Here is a 14,443-nt window from a genome sequence, read left to right on the forward strand (position 1 = left end):
GAGAAGCCACCCAGCGGAGCCCATCGCAGGACCAGGAGAAAGAGGAGCCACCCAGCGGAGCCCATTGCAGGACCAGGAGAAAGAGGAGCCACCCAGCGGAGCCCATTGCAGGACCAGGAGAAAGAGGAGCTGCTCAGCAGAGCCCATCACAGGACCAGGAGAAAGAGGAGCTGCTCAGCAGAGCCCATCACAGGACCAGGAGAAAGAGGAGCTGCTCAGCAGAGCCTATCACAGGACCAGGAGAAATAGGAGCTGCTCAGCAGAAGAGCTGCCCGGCAGAGCCTATCACAGGACCAGGAGAAAGAGAAGCCGCCCAGCGAAGCCCATCACAGGACCAGGAGAAAGAGGAGCTGCCCAGCAGAACCTGTCACAGGACCAGGAGAAAGATGCTGCTGCTCTAAGCCACTGAGGCTTGGGGTGTGTTGGGCAATAGCAGATCTCTGAAACAGCCTGAATCCAGAAGCCAAACAGTGTTGAACTCTGATGTTACTGGGAAAACCCCATTTTAGAGAAACCAAAGTAAAAGTCTTTCTGAGTCTTTGGGTAACAGATACTTAGTACTGACTCACACACCCTCCACCCCAGACAGGGCTCAGCACTCGTACCCGTGTAAGCCTCCTCACATCCTGGAGAGGTACAGAAACAATATTTGAAGAAATATTGGCCAAATATTTTCCGAATGTAATGACAATGATAAACCTATAGATTCAAGCAACTCAGCGAACTCCAAGCACAAAAAATATGAGGAAAACAACACCAGATAACCAAATGGTCACATTTTACTGCATGACAATATGACACTATTGATCACTTTGATTGTAGTTTGATTGACAAATAATCAAATTGTCACAAACTGCCTATAAATGTTAATTAGATCATGTTGGTTAGTAGTGTTTTTCAGCTCTTTTACATCCTTCCTTATTTTCTATCTACCTGCTTTATCTATTATTGAAATCTCCAACTTTATGGATTTGTCTATGTCTGCTTACAGTTCTATCCATTTTTGCTTCATGTCTTTTGAAGCTCTATTATCAGGCGCATACGTGTTTGAGAGTCTTCTGACCTCCTGATAAACACTGTGAAATGGCCTCTTTACTCCTGATCATATTCTTTGCTCTGAATTCTGCTTTGTCTGGTGTGAAGGTGGCCAGTCCAGCCTTCTTGTCACTCATTCACGTTTTTGGTATGTTTTTCCATCCTTTACCTTTCAGCCTGTGTGTCTTTGTATTTGAAGCGGATCTCTTAGAATAGTACTACAAACTACACATCATAATCGAATATTGCTTAAAACTCGTGATAAAAATCTTACATGCAAATAAAGATGTTACAGAGTATGTACATAAGGAGTTGTCACAGGAAATAATGCAAATGAGACGAGAGTAGAGTACAATCTTTAAAGTACTAAACCTGTCAACCTAGAATTCTATACCCAACAACAATCTCTTTCAAAAATGAAGGTGAAATAAAGACTTTGTCAGACATTGACAAGCTGAAAGAACTTGTCACCAGCAAACCTATGCTAGAAGAAATGTCAAGTCTGTTAGGTGGAGGGAGAATGATCACAGATGGAAACCTGGATCTCCACGCAGGAGTGAAGAGCTCTGGAAGTGGTGATGTTAGGTGGAGGGAGAATGATCACGGATGGAAGCCTAGATCTCCACGCAGGAGTGAAGAGCTCTGGAAATGGTGATGTTAGGTGGAGGGAGAATGATCACGGATGGAAACCTCGGTCTCCACGCAGGAGTGAAGAGCTCTGGAAATGGTGATGTTAGGTGGAGGGAGAATGATCACGGATGGAAGCCTGGATCTCCACGTAGGAGTGAAGAGCTCTGGAAATGGTGATATTAGGTAGAGGGAGAATGATCACGGATGGAAGCCTGGATCTCCACGCAGGAGTGAAGAGCTCTGGAAATGGTGATGTTAGGTGGAGGGAGAATGATCACAGATGGAAAAAAGAGCTCCGGAAATGGTAAGTATATGGATACACAATGAGGCTGTTCTTCCAATTGAATGAAATGTCTCTGAAAGATAACTGGACTGTTTAATCAAACTGTTTGGCAATAATAGCAAAAGGCCAGGAGAGGAAAATACTGTTGGGAGAATATTGTTGTAAAATTCTTTCAGCATTTATGAGATAGGCATAGTATACCTTGAAGGTGAGCTGTGATGGATTAAAGGCATATACTATAAACCCTAAAACCACCACACAAATAAGACAAAAAAGTTACAGCCAAGAAAGAAAATAAAAAGGAGTCACAAAAATATTCAATTAATCCAGAGGAAGGTGTAAAATAACAGCAACAAAAAGGAACAGAGAACACATGGGAGGATCAGAAAACAAATCGCAAGACAACAGGCTGAAACCTTCCCCAGGAAAGACTGCATTGGATGCAAACGGCCCAGACACCCAGATAAAGGGCAGGACTTGTCAGACTGGATTTAAACATAAGACCCAAGCATACGCCAGCTCTAAGAGATCCGCTTCAAACACAAAGACACACACAGGCGGAAAGGTAAAGGACGGAAAAACATACCATACAAACACGAGCGACGAGAAGGCTGGACTGGCCACCGTCACACCAGACAAAGCACAATTCAGAGCAGAGAATATGATCAGCAGTCAGGAGGCCATTTCACAATGTTCATCAGGAGGTCAGAAGACTCTCAAACACGTATGTGCCTGATAATAGAGCTTCAAAAGACATGAAGCAAAAACGGATAGAAATGTAAGCAGACATAGAGAAATCCATAATTATAGTTGGAGATCTCAATCTCCCTTATCTCAATAATTGATAAAACAGGCAGAAAATGAGGACGTACAGAAGAGTTGAAAAACACTATTGGCCAATTTGATCTAATGAATCCTGACAGAACACTGTCTGTTCATTTTTGGCTCAAACGGAACTTTCACTAAGACAAACCATATTCTGGGCTACAGAACAAATCTGACTAAATTTTAAAAGACTCAAGGCATATCAAGTATATTCTGACAATAAAGGAATTAAATTAGAAACCAGTAACAGAAAGATATCTGGAAAATCCCCGTCTCTTTGGAGCCTTTAAGGAACTTTCATTCCAGTGCATGTTACGACATTTGATTCTCACAACCGCCGTAGGGTAGTGGGTGATCAGTTTAAAGCTGGAAAGACAGAACTTGCTCAGGATCACACAAGCCAGTAAGGGGCGCATGGAGGATGGGCAGCACAGGGCTGCATAACAACAGGGCTCAGATGCAGGCGCTGCTGTCCTTGGCTGCGTGGGTAGAACAGCCGTGAGCACTGCTGACCTTGAGGCGCCACCCCTGTCTCCCCCAGCCACGGCTTGTCCCTGGCAAGAGGACCCCAGGACAAGCGGGAAATCCAGGCCCACGGAAGGTCGGTGTCTCCTCAGGCCTGCACTCGCCCAGTGGGCTGCTCTGCTGAGTGATGCCAGGGCACGGGCCTGGGGCTTTGAACCGCGCCCGGCCAAAACCACCCTGCAGCGGGCCACCTGCCAGGCCAAGCCCCTCCCACCCGAGACCCCCGACATTCCCCAGGCCCCTCCCACCCTAGGCCCCCGGCGTTCCCCAGGCCCCTCCCACCCTAGGCCCCCGGCGTTCCCCAGGCCCCTCCCACCCTAGGCCCCCGGCGTTCCCCAGGCCCCTCCCACCCTAGGCCCCCGGCGTTCCCCAGGCCCCTCCCACCCTAGGCCCCCGGCGTTCCCCAGGCCCCTCCCACCCTAGGCCCCCGGCGTTCCCCAGGCCCCTCCCACCCTAGGCCCCCGGCGTTCCCCAGGCCCCTCCCACCCTAGGCCCCCGGCGTTCCCCAGGCCCCTCCCACCCTAGGCCCCCGGCGTTCCCCAGGCCCCTCCCACCCTAGGCCCCCGGCATTCCCCAGGCCCGGCACTGCCCTTCCTTCCCAGCCCCCAGCACACAGAGAAAACATTCTCTTCTTACAAAAACCAATAAAACAGCCAGGAGACAAGGCGAGAAGCCTCGGCTCCCAGCCGCCGGATGGGATTCAGGCGTGGTTCCCCTAATGGTGACATTTACAGTCTTCACGGGCGACGCCAACCTGGATATATATTATTTCCACATTAGCGGGCCCCCATATCTGAGGGCGCTTGGTGACCCACAGTCTGAGCGGGCTGGCAGCCCACGGCTCCTGGTCGCAGTTAAAGGCATTACAGGATCTCCTGGCCCAAATCCTTGCTGGGTGGGTCCTGGGACACCAGGAGGATAGAAGGTTGTGTTGAGCTTCCCTGTTGGGAGTCAGCCAGGAGCAGCCCCAGCCGCTGTGCTCTGTGTGAGCCTTGCGGGGGCAGGCTGGAAAGGGGCGCCTGCCTGACACGGGGATGCACCAGCCACAAGATACACTGCGTGGAAGCTGGCCGGGCCAGGCTGAGCACTTCAACACGGATTCCTGCAGCTCCTGCTGGGAGTGTTGGGGCACACGCGGTCTCGGTACCCGTGGGGGAGCTCGGCGGGCACGGGGGCGTGAGCCGAGGCTTCTGTCAGCAAGGCTGCTCTAGGCAGCAGGGCCATGTCCCTGGGGGGCGTCCACAGCAGCTCTGCACCCCCTCAGCCACTCCCACCCACGCCTGGAGGCCCCGCAGAACTCTGGGAGCCCAGCCCAGAGAGGGCTGCTCTGTGTGGTCCGCCCCACGCAGAGTGCGCGCTCCTAGCATGAATGGCCTCTAGCCTCCGAGAGCACCTCAGGGTGAGCAGGGTGGTCGCAGGTACCCTGGAAGGCATGGCCGTGGCCTGGGCCCGGAGTCAGGGTGCAGACAGTGACCTCAGGCAGGGGCAGTGCTTCCGGATCACTCTACTTAAGCAGTGGCCTAAAACTCCCCCTGCAGGTGTGGGAGCCCAGAGACGCACCCCCAAGTTGCAGGCTGCCGGCCACAGGCTGGGACACCCTTGCTCCAGGAGCGTAGGTGGCCCCAGGCAGATCCAGGGGACCCCCGCCCTGGTCAGGCAGCTCCCTGAGGGTCTGTGGTGCGTGGCCTGGGCCCCAGCGGTGAGTCGACTCTGGGGGGCTCCGTGCCCGTCACGGGGCCTGTCTGTAGCCCTGACAGCATCCTTCGGCGGACGGAATTGTAGTTCTCCACGACGTCGGCCCAAGCTCACAGACAGGCCCGGCCTCGGCCCAAGCCTTGGGGTGCAGGGGGTGGAGCTCAGTGGGGTACTCCTGCAGGCAGCAAGGGAAGTGGCCGTGGGTCCCTGCCCGCCCAGGCCCTGGCAGGGGCTGCCCTGTGCCGCGTCTGGGAAGTGGCTCCGAAAGGGGTGTGGAAGGAGCGCCGTGGGACTGAATCAGAGTGTTGGATTTCCCGCAGCTTTCTAGCAACAGAGTTATGTTCAACTCCCCTAAAAAGCAATGGAGAATTGTTTGCAACGTTCAGGGTCCCTGTACTCCAGATCCAGTGAGTTTTCTCTGCATCAAAACCATCTGTGGGAGTCCTCACTCCATCCTTCTTGATGACAGCTGACTTCCTAAAACCCAAGTGGAGAGAGAGGACAGGCCCGGATTTTCCATTTCAGCAGCTAGTGCCATCCCTGCTGCTAAAAGCAGCTGCGTGACCCCCACATTCACAACCTGCTGTTGCATCCGCGTCGTCAGGCAACCGCTCCGATGTGGGGACCGCAGCAACCCTCCCCACAGCCTGCTGCATTCTGGACGGCGCCCGTCCCTGGTCGACAGACGGAGCAGTGGCCATGCCCAGTCCAAGGCCAGAAGCACTGGGGGGGGTCCTAGGTACAGGGGGCAGTGTGTGGGGAGAGCGAGGACACCACATCTGGGGTGGGGTTTTAGGGACAGCTACATGGGGACCCCGGGAGAGGGATGCACAGGTGGGCAGCAGGGCCAGCCAGTGTCAGGCAGCAGCCATGAGGCAGAGGCGTCCTCAGCTGGGACAGGAGCTGCATCCCCCCTCTCCTGTGCTGCGCTGGCCCTGGGATCCTGGGGGTCCTCACAACGGTGCTGAGGACATGGCTCTGGTCCCTCTGCCGGCTGAGAGCAAGCGGCCGTCCATGCATCCCCGGTGTCTCATGGGAGCGGGCCCTTGGCCTGCGGGGTCTGCACTCACCCTGGGTAGAGGTCGTCAGAACTGAGTTAGCTGCAGGGCACCCTGGTGGAGTCCACAGAGATCTGGGAACACGACGTGAGGAAAGCCACAGGCTTGTTGTCAGGAGTTTCAGGCAGAGCCACCCGGTCGCCTTTCACCCTCCAGGGGGCTGGCCCCTTCTCTTGGAACTTGGGGATGCCTTCCCTGCTGCTTCTGGCTTAACCGACTGAATTTGCCGGCAACTGCCTTTCGTTACCAGCAGATGAAAAAAGCGGTGAGTGTGGGGTGTGAGGCTGCGGATGGCCATGGGTGTGAGGCTGCGGATGGCCGTGGGTGTGAGGCTGTGGATGGCCATGGTGGAGCAGTTCCTTCTGGGGAGAGAAGTCTGCACACTCAGAGCTCCCAAGCCCGGAGGGAGGAGTCCCGAGGGAGGCATCCCCGGGGTGCATGGCTGCCTCTTGCTCTGTGCTGCTGAAACTTCCGGAGGTTTTCAGGCTCCTGAAGAGGCTCAGCGTCCCCTACAGCATAGGGGCAACTTTCCAAGAAAGGGGCACCCCCCTCTGACTCCTTATCTGACCAGCAAGAATCGGAAAGACAGCAAAAGGGCCTGAGATCCCCGCCCACAATGCTGTGGGGCAGAGGGCACGGCTCGGGGGTTGCAGGCAGGGGCCTGCCACCTTCCGGAATCAGGTCCTCCTTGGAGAGAGGATTCACGCAGGGCCCTGGGCTCGCAGTTGACACCCTGACTTCCTGAAACCTTCACCAGTGCCTCGTCATCAAGACACACGGGAGGGAGCATCCTCGTCCGAGACACAAGTCTGAGGTGAGAGGGGGGATGCAGCTCCTGTCCCAGCTGAGGACCCCTCTGCCTCATGGCTGCTGCCTGACACTGGCTGGCCCTGCTGCCCACCTGTGCATCCCTCTCCCGGGGTCCCCATGTAGCTGTCCCTAAAACCCCACCCCAGATGTGGTGTCCTCGCTCTCCCCACACACTGCCCCCTGTACCTAGGACCCCCCAGTGCTTCTGGCCTTGGACTGGGCATGGCCACTGCTCCGTCTGTCGAGTGGAGTCCAGGCCCCTGAGGCCGGTATATGGGCCATTCCTGCCCCAGGAGACACAGTGAACCGCAAAGAGCCGTGTCACGGCGGTCCACCTGCTGCAGGCACGGCGCCGCACTGCTCTGAACGCTCGCTACTCCAGGTACTCGCTCCTGGAGCCCCAAGGGGCCCCCGGGAAGCAAGAAAAGGGGCTCCTGGGCCCCGTCCCAACTCAGCGGGGCTCCCTCATGCCTTTTCAAGTCACAGTGGGTTTTGAAATGCGATTCCCCAAGGACAGCCTCCACAGCTGGAAGGAGCCGGCCCGGCCCCCCGAGACAGCAGCTGCTGCCAGAGCCTCACGCTGCCTGGCTTGGCCCTGGACCCCGTGTGACCATCAGGACATCAGGCTCATGGCTCTCTGTGAGCCAAGGCTCAGCCTGTCCTGGGATGTGGATGATAAGGGCCCTGACCTCACACACCCTGCACTCCAGCCTCAGTGTCTGGAGATGGGAGTGGCCTCAGCCACAATCCAACCTCCCAGGAGGCTCCACCTTCCAGAAGCTCAGCCATGTGGGCACAGGACCCCCCCATGTGTCTGGGCCTCTTTTAAGGACACAGTCGTTGGATTTGGGGCTCAGCAGTCCACTCTGACTTCATCTTAACTAATCACAAGGAGGTCCCAGATAAAGCCACGCTCCAAGCTCCAGGGAGAGTGGGTTTGGGCCCTGCCTGCAGGCCCTGACACTGCTGCGGCCAACCCTCCGGTGGCAGTGACACCGAGGGTGCCTCGAGACATCCAGGGCCATCCCTCTGGCCCGGGCTGCCCCTGCCTGTGTGCTCCAGGCCGGGCCCACCCTGTCCACCGTCTCGGGCCATGTCTGAACTGGTGTTGACGGCTGACACAGAGCACTCCTCACAAACAGCACAGCAGAGAGCTCTGGTGAGGGGCAGTCCTGGGCCTTTAAGGCACAGGAAGAACTGGGTGCTCATGGGGGCGGGAGGGACCCACTGCATCCCAGCTGGCCACGTGGACACAGGGGAAGGCAGTGCTGACAGGCAGCTGTGGGCCCCCCCGGCCCGCCTCCCCAAGAGTTGCAACCTGCGTCCTCGCCGGAGTGCAGCTGTGGCATGACCCGTCCCCCAGAAACACCACACCCTGGTGGTCCTGGCCAGGTGAGTCCTGGGGATCCTGAGACACTCCTGGGCCCAGAGCAGCCACATTCACTGAAGGGATGCAGCCCAGGACGCCTGATGCCGGCTTTGAAATGCAGCCACTCCATAGAGAAGGCATCAGAGTGTTTGTTTGTGGGGACATGGTGGGCGCCTCAGCATCTCTTGCCAATGGAAAGCTGTGCGGGACGGTCCTCACCAGCACGCAGCCTTCGTGGACCTGAGCCCACTGCACCACTGCTGTCGCCACCGGTGCTGGGCCAGGGGGCTCAGTGAGATGCGCTATGGAGCTTCTGGCCTGGAGACAAGGGGTCCACCCAGCTTTCCTGACCTGTCCTGAGAGCATCTGGAGACACGGGACCCCCCCACCACTTTCCTGACCCGTCCTGAGGGTGATGGGGGAGACACAGGCCCCCCTGCCCACTTTTCTGACCTGTCCTGAGGGCATCTGGAGACACTGGTCCCCTCAGCTTTCCTGACCTGGGCTGAGGGCGCTGGACCTTATTGAGGGCAGGGTGGCTGGCGTGGGCTGCGGTGTGCACAGCTTTGTTGGCGAAAGCCTCTCACACACGTGTGCCCTGCGGCTGCTCCCCGTCACGGCTGTGTTGGGACCATCCAGCCAAAGAGCTGAGAGTGTTTACTTTCTGGTATTTCACAGACCGTCAGCTGAACCTGCTCTCGGACAAAGAGAGGAGCTCACGGGTCCTCAGCAAGGCGGGGCACTTGATGGGCTATGGAGACATCTCAAGAGCCTGAAGAATAAAGTCAGGACACAGCCACTAAATGCAGGCACAAACGCCTGTGCCAGGCCGGCACGTGGACCAAGACCCGGAATCGCAGCAGAGGCACCGCGTGAGGACGGTGCCAGCTCCACGCTTGGAGGCGGTGAGTGCCAGAGCAACCCTGGCAGAAAACGCAAAGGCAGTGAGACAGCCATCACTGGCTGTCGGCAGCAGGCAGACGATGATGGCTTCCGCGTGCAGGTGCGAGTGACGGGCCAAATGCAGGAAGGGGTGTCCAGGCCTGAGATGCTCTAGGTGCACCGTGGCCATGACCACACGGGCCCAGGGTGGGGATGGTGCTACCAGGAGGCTCCCACATGGACTGAGAACAAATGACTATCCAAGCTCCAGGCCCCAGACCACCCCCAGCCCCCACGTGAACACGTGAGCTCCAGGCCCCAGACCACTCCCAGCCCCCATGTGAACACGTGAGCAGTTGGCAGGAACTGGGGCGTCTGAAGGGACTCAGCCTTGGTCTGGGGGCCAAGCACAGTGGAACTGTGCTGTGGTTCACACCTGCCCTGTGGGACACACCTGCCCGTGTCCAGGTAACGATGGAGCCACAGTTCCGTGTGGCAGGGGCTGGGCACGCAGCCAGGAAGCCCCCAACAGGCACCTGTCAGGGGACGGTGGGGAGCTGTGGACTCCAGGAAGGAGGGGCCGGCCCGGAGGCCTGGGCAGGACCAAGGACAGCAGCGGAGGGTGCCCGTGCAGGAACCAGAGCAAACCAGCTGCACTCGAGACCATGGAGGGCCACAGACCCCGTCCCCGCAGCCCCAGCAAGCCCCCGTGTGACCACCCACCCCGTGAAGGGAGGGAGAGGACGTCCTGAATCAATGGGGGTGACCCTGTGATGCGACAGCTCACCAGGGTGTGCAGGACTGAGCCCCGCCAAGAGTGGGAACGGGGCGGCGTGAGACCGGGTGCCCTGCCCTCACGCTGCACGGCACGCTCACCTCATAGTGGAAGTCCATGCAGGTGAGGTCTCGCCAGCACCGGTCCCCCCGGATCTTGATCAGGCCCTGCAAGGAAGAGAGCAGAGGGAGAGTCAGTCACAGGGGCTGGGGATGCGGCGGCCCCGACAGAAACAGCTTCCCAGGAAGACGAACCATCCACGAAGGCCGTGGATCTGGGCTGCAGGCGCTGTGAGGGAGGGGACCTTACGTATGAAACACTCAGGAAGGCAGAATTTGAGAAGGGCAGATTCAGGGCTGCTTTGAGGACAGGAGTTTAGTGCACACCGCGGGCGTGAGCAACAGTGGCTTCCTTTGCGCCTTCCCCAACACTCATTCTCAGAGCTCCACGCATCATCACGCTACAGAAGTTGCGTGTCTTTAAAGAGGACAAATGCACCACGCCCTGCACAGACCCCACGGACAGTGTCAGAGGGAAGCTTCTCAGTGCCTCCAGGATGAGCCCAAAGTCGGAGGGAGCACCCAGTGCACACGCGTCTCAGCCCCGCCCCCTGCGGCACAAAGGGAGCCGAGGCGCAGGCCCCGTGTGTCTCCCACACACTGCAGCTCGCCTGCTGTGAGGACTCCTGGGGCACGGGACAGGCTTCCAGGGGCCTGCAGAGGGAGCCGCCAGCACTGGGGAAGGTGGGACTTGGGCAGAGAGGCTGCGGGGCTGGGGGTTGGTTCTGCAGTGCCAGGGCCACAGTGAAGCATCTGGGGAAGGGTCGGCTCCCACACCCGTCTGCTTTCCCTGGGTCACTCCCGGCTTCAGATGATTCCTTCACAAGTCAGAAACAAACTGTCCCCTCTTCCCGCTAACCCTAAAATCACCGCTGAGACACAGATTCACATCCAGCGTCTCTCACACACTGGTGCATGGGAGGTGAAACTGCACAGATGTGGAAGTGAGTCCCGCCTCCTCCATGACAGGGGTTTCTGCTGCACAACCACTCCCGGCCAAATCCCCTGGGCTCCATCCACCTGTCCACCCCACTGTCCACCCACCCGTCCCCCTGTCCACCGGGCCGTCTGCCCACTCGTCCCCTGTCCACCAGACCATCCGCCCACCCGTCCCCCTGTCCACCGGGCCGTCCGCCCACCCATGCCCCTGTCCACCGGACCGTCTGCCCACCCGTCCCCTGTCCACCGGACCGTCCGCCCACCCGTCCCCCTGTCCACTGGACTGTCCGCCCACCCGTCCCCCTGTCCACTGGACTGTCCGCCCACCCGTCCCCCTGTCCACTGGACCGTCCGCCCACCTGTCCCCCTGTCCACCTGGCAGTGCGCCCACCCATCCCCTGTCCACCGGATCGTCCACCCACCCGTCCCCCTGTCCACCGGACCGTCCGCCCACCTGTCCCCCCGTCCACCTGGCCATCCGCCCACCTGTCCCCTGTCCACTGGACCGTCCGTCGACTCATCCCCTGTCCACCTGGCCGTCCGCCCACCCATCCCCCTGTCCACCCGACTTCTACCTGGCACATAAGTACTGAGTGCCCTTGAGGTGCCGGGCCCTGCTCCACCCCATAGAGGCCGCATGCTGCAGGCGCAGGTGCGACAAGGCGCAGAGAGGAAGGACGGCCACCAGTCGTGGCAGACGCAGTGGCACATAAAGGACAGGAATCCATGCTGCAGGTTCGGAGGCGATGGCTGTGGTGGGTGTAGCATGGTGGGCTCTGGGGCAGCCGCACTGGGCTGCAGGTAGCGCTGTCTCACTGTTGCCCACACGGTGGGAAGAGGGTGAGGGTCTCTCTGGGGACACTTTCGTAATGGCCGCCTCCCATCAGCGAGTGCTCCCCTCCGTGGGCGTGCTGGGGTGTCGGGCCTGGCTCCTGGTACCATGACACTGGGCTCAGGGTTTCCACACGAAATGGAATTCGGGGAACACGATCTGTTCACAGCGGAGGCCAGCCTCGGCCCGGACAGAGCTGACAGGGCTGTCCTGGGCAGGGAGCCCCGGGGCGGGGTGGGGATGGCCACGAGGGAGGAAGACAGGGTGAGGGCGCCCCCCTCAGGCAGAAGCGTGGGGTACAGCAGGGCTGAGGAGGCCGCGGGGGGAGGCCCAGGAGCCCCTGGAACGCAGGGTCCCATCTGCCACGGCGCCAGTCGCGGTCCCACTGCGGGAGACTGGCCTCCAGACGGCGGGGGGTGCGGCCTGAGGCCTGCCGGGGCCATCAGGACCTCCAGAGCAGGGGCCGGAGCTGCTGTTGGGATGGAATTTCCTCCTCTCCAGGGAGCCCCAGCTCCAGCCTCGGTCTCCTGCCTGGTCGGGTCAGCCTCGGGCTCCCAGTAGAATCCTCCTCCCCAGGTCAGCCCATCACGGGCTGTAGCCACGTCTGCGAAACATTAATACCTCCCAGTAGCACGGAGGCCAGTGTTTGGTGATGGACCAGGGACCCCAGGCCAGCCAGGCCAACAGAAAACCAACCACACACGGGAGGGCCTTCGGGGCGGCCGTGGGCCCCTAGCCGGGGCCAGGCAGGACGGGAGCCGCCGGGTTCTCTGGCTACATGTGACCGAGAAGGCAGCAGGCTCTGCTGCTGTCTGTGCAGGACGACCTGGGCAGGGGAGGGGCGTGTCCAATTCCAACGTGTTTGGAACATGGGGCTCGCGAGACTGGCGGGGGAGTGGGAGAGCCAGGAGAGGCTGCACCGCGCCCTGAAGGACGGCACGTGGCTCAAGTGACCGATGCCGAGAGGGACACGAATGAGAAACGGCAGGGGAGTGGGACCAAGAGCCCAGCCCGGCCCTACAGGAACACCAAGCAACAGGCACCCTGTTCCTCACGTCACGTGAGCCAGACGGGACACCACCCACATGCAGGCTGCACGGTCCACACACACGCCTCGGAGGGGTTGTGAGGCTCAGCCACCCACACGCAGGCTGCACGGTCCACAGACACGCCTCGGAGGGGTTGTGAGGCTCAGCCACCCACACGCAGGCTGCACGGTCCACAGACACGCCTCGGAGGGGTTGTGAGGCTCAGCCACCCACACGCAGGCTGCACGGTCCACAGACACGCCTCGGAGGGGTTGTGAGGCTCAGCCACCCACACGCAGGCTGCACGGTCCACACACACGCCTCGGAGGGGTTGTGAGGCTCAGCCACCCACACGCAGGCTGCACGGTCCACACACACGCCTCGGAGGGGTTGTGAGGCTCAGCCACCCACACGCAGGCTGCACGGTCCACAGACACGCCTTGGAGGGGTTGTGAGGCTCAGCCACCCACACGCAGGCTGCACGGTCCACACACACGCCTCGGAGGGGTTGTGAGGCTCAGCCACCCCGCGCACTGTGAAGGCTGCCTCTGGCGGGGCCATGTCTGGGTCCGGCATCGCCGTCTCTAGGGTCTTGCTGTACGTCCCTGCCCTCACATGCCCTGTGCCCCCAACGACAGGGAGGGCGCCGAACACCCGGGAGTGTTACTGTTTAAAGACCTGAAGGGTGAACTGTTTTAAAAACTGAGAGTCAGGTCTTCTGGAGGCTGGGTTTGCTCAGATCACAAAAGCACCGGAGACTGTTTCCCGCTTGGGCTCCTGTTCTGCAAACAGGCATGAAAACAGCCGAGGGTGTCCAGCTGACCGGGCGGAGAAGGCCCCACTCCTCAAGGCGCTGCCCACACCCAGGGGAGCTGCTGCTTCTGATGAAATGCACGGCTCCACCGGGCAGGGGCACAACCACCGCCACTGCTCCCCCCGCATGAGCACCAGCTCTGCTCCCTGCAGAATCCGAGAGTGGAACTCTATGGAGATTCAAACCAGGAAAAGAAGAAAAAAACAAAATAATTAAAATGTCATTCAAATTCTAAGCTGATATGAGACACTTAAAAATCTGAAAAATTCTTTCAGGAGTGGAGGATAATTATATTCCTCCCATCTATTGATTTCTCTCTACATTGCACATGTCAGATTTTCCACGGATTTTTTTTTCTCCCAGAGCAAGTGTCAAAGGAACAAAGCCTTCTTTGAGGCTTTTCAGCCCAAAATTAATTCTAAAAAAAAAAATGGCACAGACAGGCCAATAAACGCACCAGACCCAAAGGGAGCCGGGGACCCACACTGCCCGTGCCACCCTCCCGCTCTGCTCGGAATGCCAGAACTTTCCAGGCCCATCGACGATGTTCCCGCCTTGCAACGTGTGGCTGCAGCAGCTCTTCTCCTGATGCCTGTGTGTCCTGGGACACACTTCCCCAAATCTGCCATCTGGAAACTCGAAGTGTCTTGACGGTCGTATGCGGAGAAGGAGACACTCTGTGGAGACCCCGCTTCTCTCACTTGGCCCCCAGAGGCCGCCATCCACCCTGCAGCGACAGCCCCCTGTGTACCCTTGCACAGTGGCTCAGGACAGACCCCCAGCCCCTACAGTCCCCGAAAGCACCGGCTAACGTGGTGTTTGAGGAGGGGGCGCCGCCAGGCCTCCCTCCGAGCCACAACCTCCTCCATCCTTCTGGCGTTAGG

General features: G+C 59.0%; 1 protein-coding gene across 7 annotated transcripts in view, besides 4 other annotated features; it reads right to left on the reverse strand.

Moving 5' to 3' along the window:
* Window positions 1-14,443, reverse strand: part of LMF1 (lipase maturation factor 1) — a 127,980-nt gene that overhangs the window by 29,385 nt on the left and 84,152 nt on the right. For all 7 annotated transcript variants that reach the window (NR_147885.2, NM_001352019.2, NM_001352017.2 and 4 more), the window contains one exon: window positions 9,989-10,054. Coding sequence is in view for 6 of the 7 variants with exons in the window: in NM_001352019.2 (NP_001338948.1) it covers window positions 9,989-10,054 (66 nt within the window). In the remaining variant the exon portion in view is untranslated. The remainder of the gene's footprint in view (window positions 1-9,988; window positions 10,055-14,443) is intronic.
* Window positions 2,819-3,397: an enhancer, noted in NCBI's record as "H3K4me1 hESC enhancer chr16:935837-936415 (GRCh37/hg19 assembly coordinates)". NCBI's record gives its function as "activates a minimal SCP1, AML or CMV promoter by ChIP-STARR-seq in naive H9 embryonic stem cells {active_cell/tissue: H9 hESC(naive)}" and the evidence as "EXISTENCE:reporter gene assay evidence [ECO:0000049][PMID:30033119]".
* Window positions 3,398-3,975: an enhancer, noted in NCBI's record as "H3K4me1 hESC enhancer chr16:936416-936993 (GRCh37/hg19 assembly coordinates)". NCBI's record gives its function as "activates a minimal SCP1, AML or CMV promoter by ChIP-STARR-seq in naive H9 embryonic stem cells {active_cell/tissue: H9 hESC(naive)}" and the evidence as "EXISTENCE:reporter gene assay evidence [ECO:0000049][PMID:30033119]".
* Window positions 7,563-8,406: an enhancer, noted in NCBI's record as "H3K4me1 hESC enhancer chr16:940581-941424 (GRCh37/hg19 assembly coordinates)". NCBI's record gives its function as "activates a minimal SCP1, AML or CMV promoter by ChIP-STARR-seq in primed H9 embryonic stem cells {active_cell/tissue: H9 hESC(primed)}" and the evidence as "EXISTENCE:reporter gene assay evidence [ECO:0000049][PMID:30033119]".
* Window positions 13,073-13,292: a silencer, noted in NCBI's record as "fragment chr16:946091-946310 (GRCh37/hg19 assembly coordinates)". NCBI's record gives its function as "represses an EF-1alpha promoter that drives an FKBP-Casp9 reporter gene in an ReSE screen in K562 erythroleukemia cells {active_cell/tissue: K562}" and the evidence as "EXISTENCE:reporter gene assay evidence [ECO:0000049][PMID:32094911]".

The sequence above is a fragment of the Homo sapiens genome, chromosome 16 (assembly GCF_000001405.40).
Source record: "Homo sapiens chromosome 16, GRCh38.p14 Primary Assembly".
Lineage (NCBI taxonomy): Eukaryota > Metazoa > Chordata > Mammalia > Primates > Hominidae > Homo > Homo sapiens.